Genomic DNA, 14,676 nt, shown 5'->3' with positions numbered 1-14,676 from the left:
GTGAGCTACACAGCTCCCCATAGGGTCTTGGGTGACCTCTTACCTTTCTTTAGGTCTGCTTCCTGAAGACAGTGACAGGTTTTTGTTTTTTGTTTTTTGTTTTTGTTTGTTTGTCTTGAGACGGAGTCTCGTTCTGTCGCCAGGCTGGAGTGCAGTGGTGTGATCTCTGCTCACTGCAACCTCTGCCTCCCAAGTTCAAGTGATTCTCCTGCCTCGGCCTCCCGAGTAGCTGGGACTACAGGCGTGCACCACCAGGCCCAGCTAATTTTTTTGTGTGTATTTTAGTAGAGACAGGTTTCACCACGTGGGCCAGGATGGTCTCAATCTCCTGACCTCGTGATCCGCCTGCCTCAGCCTCCCAAAGTGCTGGGATTACAGGCGTGAGCCACTGCGCCCAGCCAACAGTACTTTTTATTGTGCTTACCGCTGTGAGTAGTTACTCAGCACAACATGGGGAGAGAGGGTGTCATATTATTCCCATTTTGCCAGCGAAGAAATGCAATCCTAGACAGGTAAATTATCACAACAATGACCACGTAGCTAATGACTGGCTAATCCAGCCCTGGGCTTTCAACTCCAAACCCAAGACCTCTTTTTTTTTTTTTTAACCAGAACTTTCCTAATGCATCTCATGGTCTTCATGGTCATGGCTACAGAGTTTTATCACATTATTGTTTTTGTAGCTGTTTAATACCTGCTGGTCTTACATTTCTGGGTAATTTTTAAGCTCCATGAAGGCAAAAGTATGTTACTGTCTCTTCTATTGAATATATCTGAAGCTGTGATAATACTTGTTAATTTTTCTACCTAAGAAATCCCTGATACTGATAACATTTATCATTTAAAAGTTTAAGGAAATACAAATCCCTCAGTATTAGAGAAAGAATGTCAAAGTAGACTTAAAACTTTTTTGAACAGTACTTTGGCTATAGGTACTGGCTCAAATTGATTCACATGTAGGAACCAGCATGCCCAGTGCCTGTTCTCTTTGGCATGTGAACATTGTCCTTATGTGTTTAGTTGTTATGACCACAAAGTAGAATATTGAGGGGCAAGAAGATGCTTGTTAATAGACACTTAATGCTTCTTGGCAATTAATTTAAAAAGATGTCTAATGCCCAGTGGATTTCTCACCACCTAGTGACACTTAATAAACAGAGAATCCCAAACCAGTGCATACAAATGCAGACAAATAAAAGTACCTAGAGGTTTTGTCTACCTATCAAAAACAGAAAAGACCTTGAAGGTTGTTTATTTTATCATAAATCTTCCATTATAGTCTCCATTATGTTGGTACTAGACTTCTTTGCTTGAAAAATCTGCTCTGAGGTACAAGGCAAGTAATTACTGAGTCTTCCCAGGGACTAAGACAAAATTCCCAAACAAAATCTTTTAGGGTTTTTAAAAATTAATTTTTTGGATGGGATTTGGTAATCACATGTACTAACAAACGCTGTAGAATATTTAACCTTTAACATACTGTGTGTGAGCTGTGTATTCCTTCTCGGAGAGCTAAAAACAATGCAGGGTCACATTTTCTGTTTGAAAAGCACTGTAATATATTTCTTTCTGAATTTATATTTCAGGTGGGAATTAATGTTATTCCAATTTTCTCCTATTAACCTGAATATATTCAGCCAAAATAATAGATTGTCTAAAATAGTATTTTTACCCAAGACAGGTAAAAAAAAATCAATATAGAGTTCCCATCAGTATGGTAAATTACAGTAACTGCAGTGCAAATTTCCATTAACCCTTCTCTTCCTTGGCCCAGAGAAGGGGCCTTCAATTAACTGCTAATCATCTAAATGTAACCAAGTGAGTGACCGGACTTGACGGTGGGCAGCGCTCTCAGGTAGAAGTGAGAGGAGACTTATTGGTCTTGGAAGGTTTTGTGTGTATTCTTGCCAGGAAATGAGGCAATGGGTTGGCTGACCTTTAAGTCCTTGCTAGCTCTGGTATTGGGTGATTCGTAGTCACCTTCAGGAAATCAGAGGTTGGGCTGGGGGTCACTTAAGCTGGATTTGCAATGCATCTCTAGGTTATGAAAAATGAAGGGCTAGCTCAGACTTGGTCTTGGTTGGCTATTGATTTAGAATAGGCTACACAGAATGGAATCACAGAACTTGGTGGAGTCCACTCCTAAAGTCAGCCGAAACCCTGCAAACAAGGCTGCCTGAATTCCTTTGCACTGAAAGTTGGAGGGACATGGAAGAAGGAAGGTTAAAAGTTAAATTTGGGCCGGGTGCAGTGGCTCACGCCTGTAATCCTAGCACTTTGGGAGGCTTAGGCAGGCGGCTTACGAGGTCAGGAGATCAAGACCATCCTGGCTAACATGGTGAAACCCCGTCTCTACTAAAAAATACAAAAACATTATCCAGGCATGGTGGCGGGCACCTATTTTCCCAGCTGCTTAGGAGGCTGAGGCAGGAGAATGGCATGAACCCAGAAGGCAGAGCTTGCAGTGAGCCAAGATCGTGCCACTGCACTCCAGCCTGGGTGACAGAGCAAGACTCCATCTCAAAAAAAAAAGTTAAATTTGAAAGTAGCAACTTGTAAACCAACTATGACCCATATATACGTAATTTGTTTGGCTATGACCCATATATACGTAATTTGTTTGGCTCTCATAGTATGGAAAAAATTAGCCAATTTTAAATTGGGAGATTTCATAGAACTTCTGGATTTTCACTTGTATCTAACTTAAAAATAAAAGAAGTAGCAATACTTAGCTTGTATTCTATCATAGCAAGAATGTATTGGAATTGCCCATTTTAGGGAAAAAATAATTTGTCCAGTCCACTACCGTCTATCTTTTTTTTTTTCTTTTTTGAAATGGAGTCTTGCTCTGTCACCCAGGCTGGAGTGCAGTGGCATGATCTCGGCTCACTATAACCTCCTCCTCCCGGGTTCAAGTGATTCTCCTGCCTCAGCCTCCCCAGTAGCTGGAACTACAGGTGCATACCACCATGCCTGGCTAATTTTTGTTTCTTTTTTGAATTTTTAGTAGAGACAGGGTTTCACCATGTTGGCCAGGCTGGCCTCGAACTCCTGACCTCAAGTGATCTGCCTGCTCCCAAAATGCTGGGCTGCGTAGGCTCCCAAAATGCTGGGATTACAGGCATAGGCCACCGCACCCAGCTTCAGTCTACCTTTTCTTAGTCATCCCTTAGGGCAGTTCTCTTCACCCAATTATGTTATCCTGACAAAAGCATCTGAGTTTATGACCTCTGGTATAATTTTATAAGGAGGTTGCCCTGATGCATCAAGCATACATAAATATGCAGTCAGATTAAGGTGTACTTCAAATAATTTGTAAGAAATTCTAACTAAAATACATTTACCGATGATTAACTTTTTGAGAACCAATTACTATAGGTTCATATCATTCTTACCCACTTACACCATGATAGGCTTTTGTGAAATGCTGGAGAGGGATGGCAGTACTGTGACTTAACCGAGAATCCCTCATAAACTAGGATGTTTAAGTCAAGATTCTCTTGGTGCAAGTGGTACAAGTGAGCTCAACTAGCTTATCCCTGTCCACTGCCACATATTGACTCACATAACCAAGAGTGCAGGGGTATCTGACTTGATGCCAGGCTGTATTTGAGAAACCAAATAATGTTCTTTCTCTCTCTTTTTTTCTCTGACTTTCTCCTCTCACCCTACTTTACTCTTTCCCAGCTCTGGTCTCTCTGTTGGCTAAATTCTCTAGGAAATTCCCTCCATAGGGTGGTAAAGACAGCCACTAACAGCAAGTCTAGCATTATATTGTCCCTTGGGACATAGTTGAAGATAGAAAGAGAACTTTCTTCTTAGTGGCCATAACGATCCCAGCAAAGAAATGTAGATATTCTGGTCTGGGTCACATACCCAGGGTTAATTTAACAAGTATCTTTTTAGTGCCTACGTTGAGTAAGGCTCTAGTGAGGTGCTTGAGAACCTCAAGGAATCCCTGCTTTCATGGAGCTTACTTACGTTATGGGAAGGGGTGGGAGTGAATCCAAAGACAAACATAATAAGCAAGAAAATTATATAGTACTCTAGAAGTAAAAAGTACTACAGGGAAATTGCTTTTAACTGTTAAAAACCCCACCAGGTGAGAAAAAAGCCGCTCTCAAAAGACAAAAGAGAGCTGCTTTTATCAGAAATAATCAGAGATGTAGTGTAGGCAAAAATGAAGTGCTTATTATATTAGTTCTACAAATGGAGGGTTTTACTATTGGGAATATCATCACTTGTGTCTCACCTCTGCTGCTTTGTGGTGGAAGGTAAAAATAAAGAAAGAGACTAACGCCAAGCATGAAATGGCGAGTATAGCCCAGCAGTAACTCCTTGCTGCGGGTTTCACACCACAGTCATATAGAACTTCTGGTTCTTCGGTCTCCATCTTTGCCTATGCTGTTCCCTGTGCCTTGAATGCTCTTCCTACTAACCATCTTGATTTTTTGTTTTTGTTCAAGGTTGCCAGATGGGTTAAATGCCCCTCTTATGGGCTTGCAAAGAACCTATGTTTGTCCCTCTGGCAGGGAAATTATCTTATTTATCCTTGTCTACTAGTTTCCAGTAGTATAGCTGGTTCAGTCCATGGTACACATACAGTCTATGAATCTGTTTGATGGCTACTTTCAGAGACCCATCATTTCCCTGTCGTTCTCCACCAAGTGAAACATTACGCCCTTGTGCATAGTGATGCTATGATAATGTTCCCACTGCTTGCATTTAAGCCCTCAGAGATGAAGACGTTTTCCTGACCCTCAGCCTCTCATTTGCTCATGAGTTCTGTTCCCTTTGCAAGAAGTGGCCTTGAGGAGTATATAGGTTTGTGTAAAGAATCTCTGGGTGGCAGTTTAGGGAGATGGTTCAGAGCATGGCTTCTGCCTATGTTTGTATCCCAGAACTGCAGGTTATTAGGTATAAGGCCTTCAGCTGTTTTATAGCTCTTAATAATAGATAATAATAGTACCTTCAGAAAACTGTTGACAATGACATAATCTATGTAAAGCTACTAGGATAGTGTTTAACAGAGTAACTGCACCATAGACATTTGATATTATTACAATTATGAGGAGGAGGAGGGGAGTAGGAGGAGGAGGAAGAGTAAAAAGAAGTGGTGGCCAATCAAGGAACAGTAGTATCCAAATTGTGTTATTGTGGTTCCAAGTTGCAAAAGTCCTATGTATGTATTATTTCATTTGACTCTCATGGTCATTCTATGAGATAGTGTGGTTTTCATCCCCATTGAAGAGATGAGTAAACTAAGACTCAGATTGTGCTTTCCTAGACATTTATCTACACCTGTTAGCTGTGATCCCATGCTTTTGTGATTTTGCCTCTCTGTTTCTTTGTTCCCAAAATTCCAATTTTGGAGTAATGGCATGATTGGAGAAACATAAGTTTGGGCTAGGGGACACTGGTTGTATGCCCCATGCCTGCTGCTCTGGACCAGCCAGACTGGGATGGAGCAACAGGCATTTGCTTGGTGCATGACCCAGGCCTTTACCTGAGAGCAGTTTTGGAGCTAACCCAGTGCACAAAGGGCCATTTATTTGGGGAACTGTCCAATGATCTATTTCTGGCAGAAAAGAGGCGTTGTAATTCATCCTATTCTGGGAAAAGTGGCACCCCCCAACCACATGCAGTGGCACTAAGATTTCCCAATAGGACAGGGTCTGAGGCCACTCTTGGCTCACCTCCAGCTTCCCCTGTCATTTCCAATCATGCCTTATGACATGCAGTCATTTATCTTGAAAAGTTGTGCCAGGCTGTCTGTTGCAATTCTCTGAGCAAAAGATGAAGGGCACCTGGAATAGAGACCAGAGACCAGGCTGGGCTTGAAAGTCGGAGACATGGTCTAGACCTAAGTCTCTACCTCATCTTCTGTGCTGTTTTAGGCAGGACACTTTCTCTGTGCCTCACTTCTCCATGAGGAGCACAATGAACCCTGTGCCGTAGTCAGAAACTCAAATGTTCCTTTCAGCTGTGATAGGCTGAATAATATCCACCCAACAGCATCAGGTCCTAATCCCTGAAACCTGAAAATGTTACAAGGACAAAGGGTCTTTGCAGATGTATTAAGTTGAGGATCTTCACAAGGGAAGATTATCTCAGGTTGTTCAGATGGGCCCCAAATCCAATCCCAAGTGCCTTTGTAAGACAAAGGCAGAGTGAGATTATACACGCGCAAGAGGAGAAGGTGATAGGAGAATGGAGGCAGAGATTTGTGGCCACATGCAAGGGGGTACTGGCAGCTGGCAGAAACAGACGTATCAGAGAATGTTTCGTGTCCTACAGCTTCCAGAAGGAGTGTGGCCCTTCCGACACGTTGATGTTAGCCCAATGGAACAGATGCTGAACTTCTGACTTCCAGAACTCTGAGGAATAAATTTCTATTGTTTGAAGCCCCTGTGTTTGTGATAGTTTGTTATGGCAACCATAGGAAATGAATAAACTGCTCTGTGACTCAATTATCCCTCACCTTTTCTTGCTGCTCATCTGCTCAGCAAGGTTTCTAGTCTCAGTTGGTGTGTGTTCAAAAATAGAAAAAGGCACTCATCTTTCTTTAAGCCTCATTTAGTCTCGTGTTCTCTATTGCTTTCAATTGGCATGTGTTTCTGTGGTCACCACAATGAAATGGAGCCTCTTCCCTCTATATGTTCAGTTTCTTCTTCTTGTTTTAACCAACAGCTTCCAATCAAGTCTTTTACATCTTTTCTGATATAAGTAATTTAGTAGTCTTGAGAGCATCAATTTGTGGTAAAGAAGATTACCTTTATGTTAATTTAGTAGCACTAAGGATATGTGCTCAGTAAATACTTATGAGCACTACTGCGTGCCAGCACACAGGCAGCACCAGGGAATCCTGGGGGTAACAGGGCACCTGACAGGAGAGACACCCCCAGCATGTTAGTGTTCTCCAGAGAAACAAAACCAAGAGGGTATATACACAGTATGAGCATATGTATACACACATATACATATACATGTACATACAGAGAGAGATTTATTATAAGAAATTGGCCTGTGTAATTATGGAGGCTGGCAAATCCAGAATCTGCAGAACCAGTGTCCCAGTTGGAGTTGAAAGGCTAGAAGCTGCTGTAGAACCAGGAAGAGCTAACATCCTAGTTTGAGTCCAAAGGCTGGCAGGCTACTATAAAATTAAGAACCAATGTCCCAGTGCAAAGGCCATCAGGCAGGAGAATTCTCTCTTAGTCTAGAAAGGGTCAGCATTTTGTTCTACTCAGGCCTTCAACTGCTTAGATGAGGCCCACCCACATTATGGAAGGCAGTCTGTGTTATCCACTTCACCAATTTAAATTTTAATCCCATCCCCAAACACCCAGAATGATGTTTGACTAAGTACCCGGGCACCTCATAACCAAGTCAAGTTGGCATATAAAACTAACCATCACACTTGCTCTTGTATTACTGCCATTCTAGTGGAGCACACACAGTCATGCTTTTTCTATGTATGCTCAAGCTTCAGATTGCGGCAAAACTCTAATTTTCCAAGACTGCAGCAGAGTACCATGTTCCTGCTGCGGGAACATCCTCACTGAATATTCCCTGGCCCGAGCCTCTACAAGGAGTTCTGGGGAATGTTTTTAGCCCTGAGGGCACCTAATAAGGCTAAACAATACAGAACTGGGTTGTAAGAGGTCCCTCTGATTTCTCTAAGTTCTGCCAGGATATGCCTATGCTTACCTTACCCCCAGACAACTCAGAGCTTTGGGGTTCGAGGAGAGTCTTGAAGGAATAAGAGCATTCAAGAAAAGAAGAATATTTTAATTGTTTTTTCTTTGTTTAATTCTGTCGTGTTTATTCTTCTGCATATCCCAAGTGCTCTCTAAAGAAAAAATAGCAGTAATGCTACCAGGATTTCCTCCTTCCAATGCATCCTCTCTCAAGCAGTGACTCAATTTCTTGCTCGGAAATGGTGCCTCCAGCCATTGGTGGCTCAGGTTGAAAATGTGAGTCATCTCTGATGTCTGTCTTTCCCTCAGACCCCACTTCTGGGCATTGTAAAGTTATTAAAAATATAGCCAGAGTTTTACTATTTCTTATTACTTCTTCCCTGCCACCCCAGTACAAAGACACCATTACCTCCTGCTTAGATGACTGTGATAGTCCGCGGACTCCTCCTTGCTCCTACATATACCTCTGCCTCAAATCCATTCTCCACATAGTGACCAGAGGGATTCTTTTAATACCTGATATCATGCCCAAGTTATCCTTGCTCAAAACTTTCCATATTCAGAAGAGTAAAATCCAAAGTCCTCTCTAGGGCTTCTGAGGCCCTGTGTGATCTGACCCTGTCTTCTCTGAGACCTAATTTCTGACCATTCTCTTATCTCACCTGCTCTGCCCTAGTGACACTAATCTCCCTGTCATTCCTCTAATTGCGTTGACACTTCTATTCCCTCATTCTCCTTTCTGGTTCCAGCCTCACCCCTTCAGAGAGGCCTTTCCTATCCTAACCACCCCAACTACAATAGCCCTCATCTTTTTAATAGGCGTCCCTGTCTGCCCCTTCATTCTGCTTTTTCTTCAGAGCACTTATGACTATCTGGGATCATATGTCTGTCTCTAGATCTAGATCTAGTTGTCGGTTTACTTGTGTGTCACCTTTCTCCCACACTGAATGGTGAGCTCCATGCAGGCAGAAGACACTACTTATCTCCATATCACAGCACCCCAAATAGTGGCAGGTACATAATGGTGATCAATAAATAATTAATAATGGAAAAGAGTAAAAGGCAGGGAGTAAGAGCAGTGTGAAAAACTTTAAGCTTCTTCTAACCTCAAGAGTCTGTGAGTTGGTGAAGGGCCCAGCAGCCCAGGTCACCTAATTACTGTTATAACAAGTTTGATGGTATCAGGCAATTCAGTTGGTGCTTCTTGTTTGAGATTGAGTTGATTTTTCACTCCTTGGTCCTTCTCTGTATTGGCAGAGGACCGCAGAGCAAGGTGGCCAAGAGACTCCTGTGAGCAGAAGCAGGGAATGTTCACGCTGGGACGGTGCTCCTGTTGTCTGTCTACGATGGCAGCCCCCCTTTTCATTCATGTGGCAACTTTAAAAAAATATTTGCTCTATCAGGTTTTGTCTAACTCTTGCTTCCTCCTTAAGTCCTAGGTTACATGTTCATTACTCATTAACAGCTTCCTGGTGCCCAGACTAGGTTAGATCACCCTGTTCTGAGCTCCTATATTTGCCTTTCTTAGCATTCATCACATACTCGTAGACATTTGCCATGAGCTACCTTCCTTGTCAGCCTGAAGGCTTCAAAAGTGACCCTGTCTGCTGTGTTCATCACTGTACCCAGGGGGAGTGTCAAAATAACAGAGGCCTAGTGAGTGCTCTATAATTGTTTGTTGAACTAACAATTGAATTTTATGATAAACAACAAAAATTAACATAAATTATAAAATAATTTGATGATTGCTTATCACTTCCTTGATACCTCATCAAAACAGTACCACACTTATTTGGATGTTCGTTCATTTTGTATTCAGCAGGAGGTGGTGGAATAGGAGATTAATGGGACATTTACTCCTAGAAATAATTTAATTATTACAAAAATTTTCCAGAACCATCAATCTGTAGAAACCATCCAAAGAAGACCGTGAATCGGATTTTGTTAATAAAATTTTTGGTATACAGATCATGATCTTTTCTAGAAGTGATTTTATCAGGAAATTTTAAAATAAATTTTATCCTTAATCTTTCTTGAAAACTAACCCTTTTATTTTCCTACCAAGGAAGATAAAGCGCAACTGAATATAGAGTGGGAAAAATTAGAACCAGCTCTCATGTTTTAAATATTCTTTAACTTCTCAATTTCTCTTCCAACAGAGTAGAAATAATTATATTCTCAGGATTTGGATTAAATAATTTGAACAGTTGGACATTTAATATGTGAACTGTTCATAAGCATGATTGTATCACACAGTCGGAAAATGAATAAACTTTTATAACTGACAGAATTTTCTGACTCATATATTTAAACCCAATGCTATTAACCCACCAAAGTAGAAATAACATTCTAGTAGGGCTATGTATCCATACTTTGACCAATCAGATGCATTTTTGGAAAGGCTGGGGCTACAGGTTTACAGGAAGGCATCAAACAAAGCAAAGTTGAGCTGCATGCACTGGAACAAAACCCTCGCTCTGATGCCTTAACACTGTGTTCTAACGATGGCCCAGCCAGCTTAAGACAAAAGCAGCCATGTGTCTTATCAGTGCCTCAGCAGCTCTTGCTAGGAAATGCCACAGCTTGTGAAACCACAGCCCAAATAATTGGGAACAGAAAGGAGGGAGGGTGATCTACATTTTTATGTTGGGAGGGATTAAGATCATCGGAGCTTCAGGGAGTGTTTTATGCAGTATTTATAAGTTTATGACATGTATAAAGATGTAGATGTCTGTTATTTGGAGGCCAATTATCCATATAAATGATATTTAAGCTGTATTCTTTGTTTTCTGAGTGAAACTTCTGGACTAAGGTCTGACAGTGAGCAGAGCATTGGACTGCAGGGCTATCCTGCAAGCCAGGCACTCAGGCTCACCTCTCCTTAGCATTCCTCTACTTTTTACCTTTGTGTGTGCCAGCAGCCAGAAATGGGGAAAGGAAAGGAAATCTAAAGCCATCTGTTTGACTTCTTGAAAACATGTAAATTCCAGTCACAGGGCCAACTGCTGCTATAACAGATTATCACAAACTCCCATGGCTTTAAACAACACAAATTTATTGTCTTACACTTATCGGGGTCAGAAGTCCAAAAATGGGTCTCACAGGGCTAAATTCAGCTTCTTAGTGGAGCTGCTTTCTATGGGGTGTGGGAGATAATTCATTTCCTTGCCTTTTCCAGCTTTTAGAGGCTGCCTGAATTCCTTGGCTCTTGGCCGCTTCACTTTGACCTCTGCATCCATTGTCACATGTCTCTCTGGCTCTCCCTTCTTCCTCTTTCACTTCTAAGGACGCTTGTGATTAGATTGGACTCACCTGGATAATGAAAGATACTCTCCCATCTCAAGATCCTCCTTACCTTAATCACATTTGCAAAGTCCCTTTTGTCATGTAAGGTAAGAAATTAACAGGTTCCAGAGATGAGAACATGGACATCTTTAGGGGCCCATTAGTCCACCAGCCATAGAAAGCAATGGAAATTACTCGAGTCTGATTTTGTCCTTTCCTTCCTTTTCTCATGACCACCAGAATCTGCCTGGTGTTTCCAAGCCTGAGCTGTAGTTATGTAGGATTCCCCTTACAAATGCAGGTTCCACTGAATCTTCAGACCTCCACCCCCAACCACCGCACATCCAAGAACTCACTTCCTCTCCAGGCATTGGCCCAGGGCCACATCTATATTAGTATAATTCTCACTAGTGTTTCTTATTAAACATCTCACTTCTGGGCACATGTTGGGAGGACAATTGGTGGCCTTTTTGTGGGTGGAAATGTTCATGCAACTAGTTCTGGCCAATGATTTATAAATGACTCTAAGCTGAGCATTTCATTGATGGCATGAAGATCTTCTAGCACCTTCTCTCCTCCCTCTTGTTACATTGATCAGCAGCATTCAAGATGGGTAGACTTGCAGTTAACATGCAGAATAAACTGGAAGTAAAGTTTGTTGTAGCCACTAATATGTTGGAATTGTTTTTTACAACAGCATATAAACTAACTTATCCTGACTGATGCACTTAGCAAAGGTTAAAAGGAAGGAAACTAGAAGCATAAACAACACAAGCTGCTGCTAACTGGTTTTCTCCATTCACCTGTCTCCTTGTGAAATGTATATGATAATATACCTAAAGACATCATTCGTCACATGTAATTGCCTCTGTCTCTTCTTCATCTGTGGAAATGAGAAAAGATCTGCAGATGTGATGAGTAGGAATGTCGGAGAAGAGTAGTGGGTGGTGCTATGGGCATTTAGCAATGATCACTCTTTTTATTTTTTGCAGTAAACCCTCAAAATGGAAATATGCTTATTTTAGGGCAAGCACAGAGTGGAGGAGAATTTGATGGAAATCACAGTAGGAAGAGAAGTATACAGGGAAAGAAAGGTTGAAGAGAGGCCATGCCAGCTGACCATAGCCCAGGGTGTCTGCACACTGCAGGCACTCACACCTCTAGGTGCCTTGTTTTTGAACTCTTTGGATGCCCTTTTACCCCACTCTTCTCCCTCTCAGCCCTGCTAGAACCCTTGCATTAGGCCAGTAATTGGGATTAAGGCATAGCTCCCAACAGCTAGAGATGGAACCTCCAGCCCAGTGCCAGGGGTACAGCAGGAGTGTCAGTTGCCTGCAGATTAAAACTGGACTTTAAATGCATATTTCTCAGAAATGTTATTATATCCTGTGTTACACATTGCTAGAGTTTCTGTATATACCACTGTTAGAGCATCCAGTTCTTCAGCTGGGTTGTAAGTGAGTTGTCAGTGACTTGGGCTCCTGTGGGCCAGCCTGAGAATCCAGCCCCCAGTGAAGAGCATTGTTTCTATGGCAACCTGCAATTTGTGACCCAAATATCCAGGTTAAGGTTTTCCTATTTTATCTAACTGAATGTATGAGTCACACATTCTAACTGAATGTGTGAGTCAGTGGGGTTTCCCAATGTTCAATTAAAAGTTAGGGTTCTCTTTTAAATATGTGTATTTTTTTCACCCAGATAATCCATTTGTGTCAGCAATAATAATGGAAGACCTTTATTCTAAAATGTCTGTGTTTAGGTAGAAACTTCTGTGATGGCAGGGTTAGTCAAGACCAAAATGGACATCTTTCTTCAGCAAGTAGTTCATTTGCTTTTCCTTTTATTTCTTAAAACCCTGCAGGGCGAGCCCTGCTGAGACTTACTGACAAAAAGCTCGAGCGAATGGGGATTGCCCAGGAGAACCTCCGGCAGCACATCTTACAACAGGTGCTCCAGCTGAAGGTGCGAGAAGAAGTCAGAAATCTACAGTTACTCACACAAGGTACCCTATTGCTTCCTGATGGGTGGATGGATGGGGAGATTAGAAGAAAGACCACCTTACTATTAGGACAGACAGGAGTCAGGGAGAATTTGTTATTGTTTCTTCACAGAATTTCCATCATAGAAAATAGTATACAGATTTAAGATTACTTCCCTTTGAAAACTTTTTTCATAGCTCACTAGGGAGAAGGATGCACAAATAAGTAATGGATGAGCAAACAGAATTACCTGAGCTAACTTCAAGGTGGTCACGTACAGTTGTATGGATTGTGTACTGCACAACCCCAGAGAATACCAGTCACATCAATCAGGGTACGATTGCACTCACTAGAGTTGTATAATGTGCAGCCTGCACAACTGTACAGTCCAGCTGTAGCTATCTTCACCTGCGCCAATTGTGAGGGCGCTTTAGCATTTGAGTGATTCAATAGTTACGATGACCAGTGATATAAGTGGAGTTTTTGTTGTATTTTTGTTTTGCTTTTCACCGGTTAGTGGGAGAAAAACATTTTAGATATGTATTACTATACATGAATGTATTATACACACACACTTTAGAGATTGTAAGAACCCCATTTAGCTTCTTGAAAGTGGAATAATTTTTATAATAGACTATAGTGAATCTAAAACTACACTGTTAAGAGTATATAATTCTTAACAGGAATTATAAATAACTTCAATATGATGAGAGCACTTAAGATCTCAATAACTGTGGAAGTGACAAAATAAAGCTAGAATTCGAAGAAAGCCTTAAGTTACACTATATGTAACTGATATGTCTACATGAGATTTGGATGCTATCAACCTTCATTGGCTATAAACTTTATTTGTTTTATTTTAGCGTCCATTGTACATCGTTTTAAATGAAAGGATGATAAAATATGTGTTTTTGAGAGCCTTGAGTATTTGTCATTCTGCAGAATATTGTAATTGCATGCATACCGATATTGGAGAAATCTGGGTCAGCCAAGTTTCATGTTATTGCATTTAGATTAACCTAGTAATAGTCCATTTGCCTAGAGGAAATAATGTGCTCCCTGAAAGATGACTATTCTAGAAGGATAAATATAGATTTCAAGTGATCGTAAAATAGTATTGTTTGTCTCATATGCATTATTTGCATTTTGTCCTCAGAGATTTCCAATGGTGAATTTACTGGTATACTAAGTGATTTAAATTTGAATGTGAAATACTGATAGGCTTTTAAGCTTCTTTTAAGAAGTAGATAGAAATACGAAGATTATGATAAGAAAGTCTGTCACAGTGCTATTTGGAAAACGGAAAATTTACAAGCAACCTAGAGGTCCAGCAATGTGAAAAGAATCAAGTAATTCTGCTTAAATTCATAAGATTCAGTATAATGCCCAGTTATTAAAATTACATCTTTAAAGAATACATGACAACATGGGAAATTACGTAAGTCATACAAGGTGGGAGGAAAGGTCATGTGTAAAATTGTATGCATAATATAAGCCCAATTTTGTAAAAACCATATATTCTTATATGTACAGAAAAAAAGGACTGCAAGTAAATATGCCAACCATTTTAATAAAGGATCTCTCTGGATTGTGGGATAAGTGGGTGACTTAAATTCTTATTTTTCTGTATTTTCCAAATCTTCTGCAAATTCATATTACAATTATAATCAGAAAATACACATATGCATTTTTTTAAGCTTCAACCACAAGCA

General features: G+C 40.9%; 1 protein-coding gene and 1 long non-coding RNA gene across 14 annotated transcripts in view; one reads left to right on the top strand and one right to left on the bottom strand.

The window, feature by feature from the left end:
* SAMD12 (sterile alpha motif domain containing 12) overlaps nt 1-14,676 on the top strand; it is a 490,139-nt gene that overhangs the window by 229,417 nt on the left and 246,046 nt on the right. For 10 of the 12 annotated variants that reach the window (NR_146234.2, NR_109794.3, XR_007060733.1 and 7 more), the window contains one exon: nt 12,847-12,987. Coding sequence is in view for 8 of the 12 variants with exons in the window: in NM_001349811.2 (NP_001336740.1) it covers nt 12,847-12,987 (141 nt within the window). In the remaining 4 variants the exon portion in view is untranslated. Of the gene's footprint in view, nt 1-12,846; nt 14,564-14,676 lie in introns of those variants that run through there. The other 2 variants (XM_047421778.1, NM_207506.3) reach the window with 1 other exon arrangement.
* Nucleotides 1-14,676, bottom strand: part of LOC105375724 (uncharacterized) — a 141,651-nt gene that overhangs the window by 30,487 nt on the left and 96,488 nt on the right. The window lies entirely within an intron of this gene.

Source organism: Homo sapiens, chromosome 8, assembly GCF_000001405.40.
Source record: "Homo sapiens chromosome 8, GRCh38.p14 Primary Assembly".
Taxonomy (NCBI): Eukaryota; Metazoa; Chordata; class Mammalia; order Primates; family Hominidae; genus Homo; species Homo sapiens.
The sequence above is the reverse complement of the archived record's forward strand: the minus strand, read 5'-3'. Positions and strand labels throughout refer to the sequence as shown.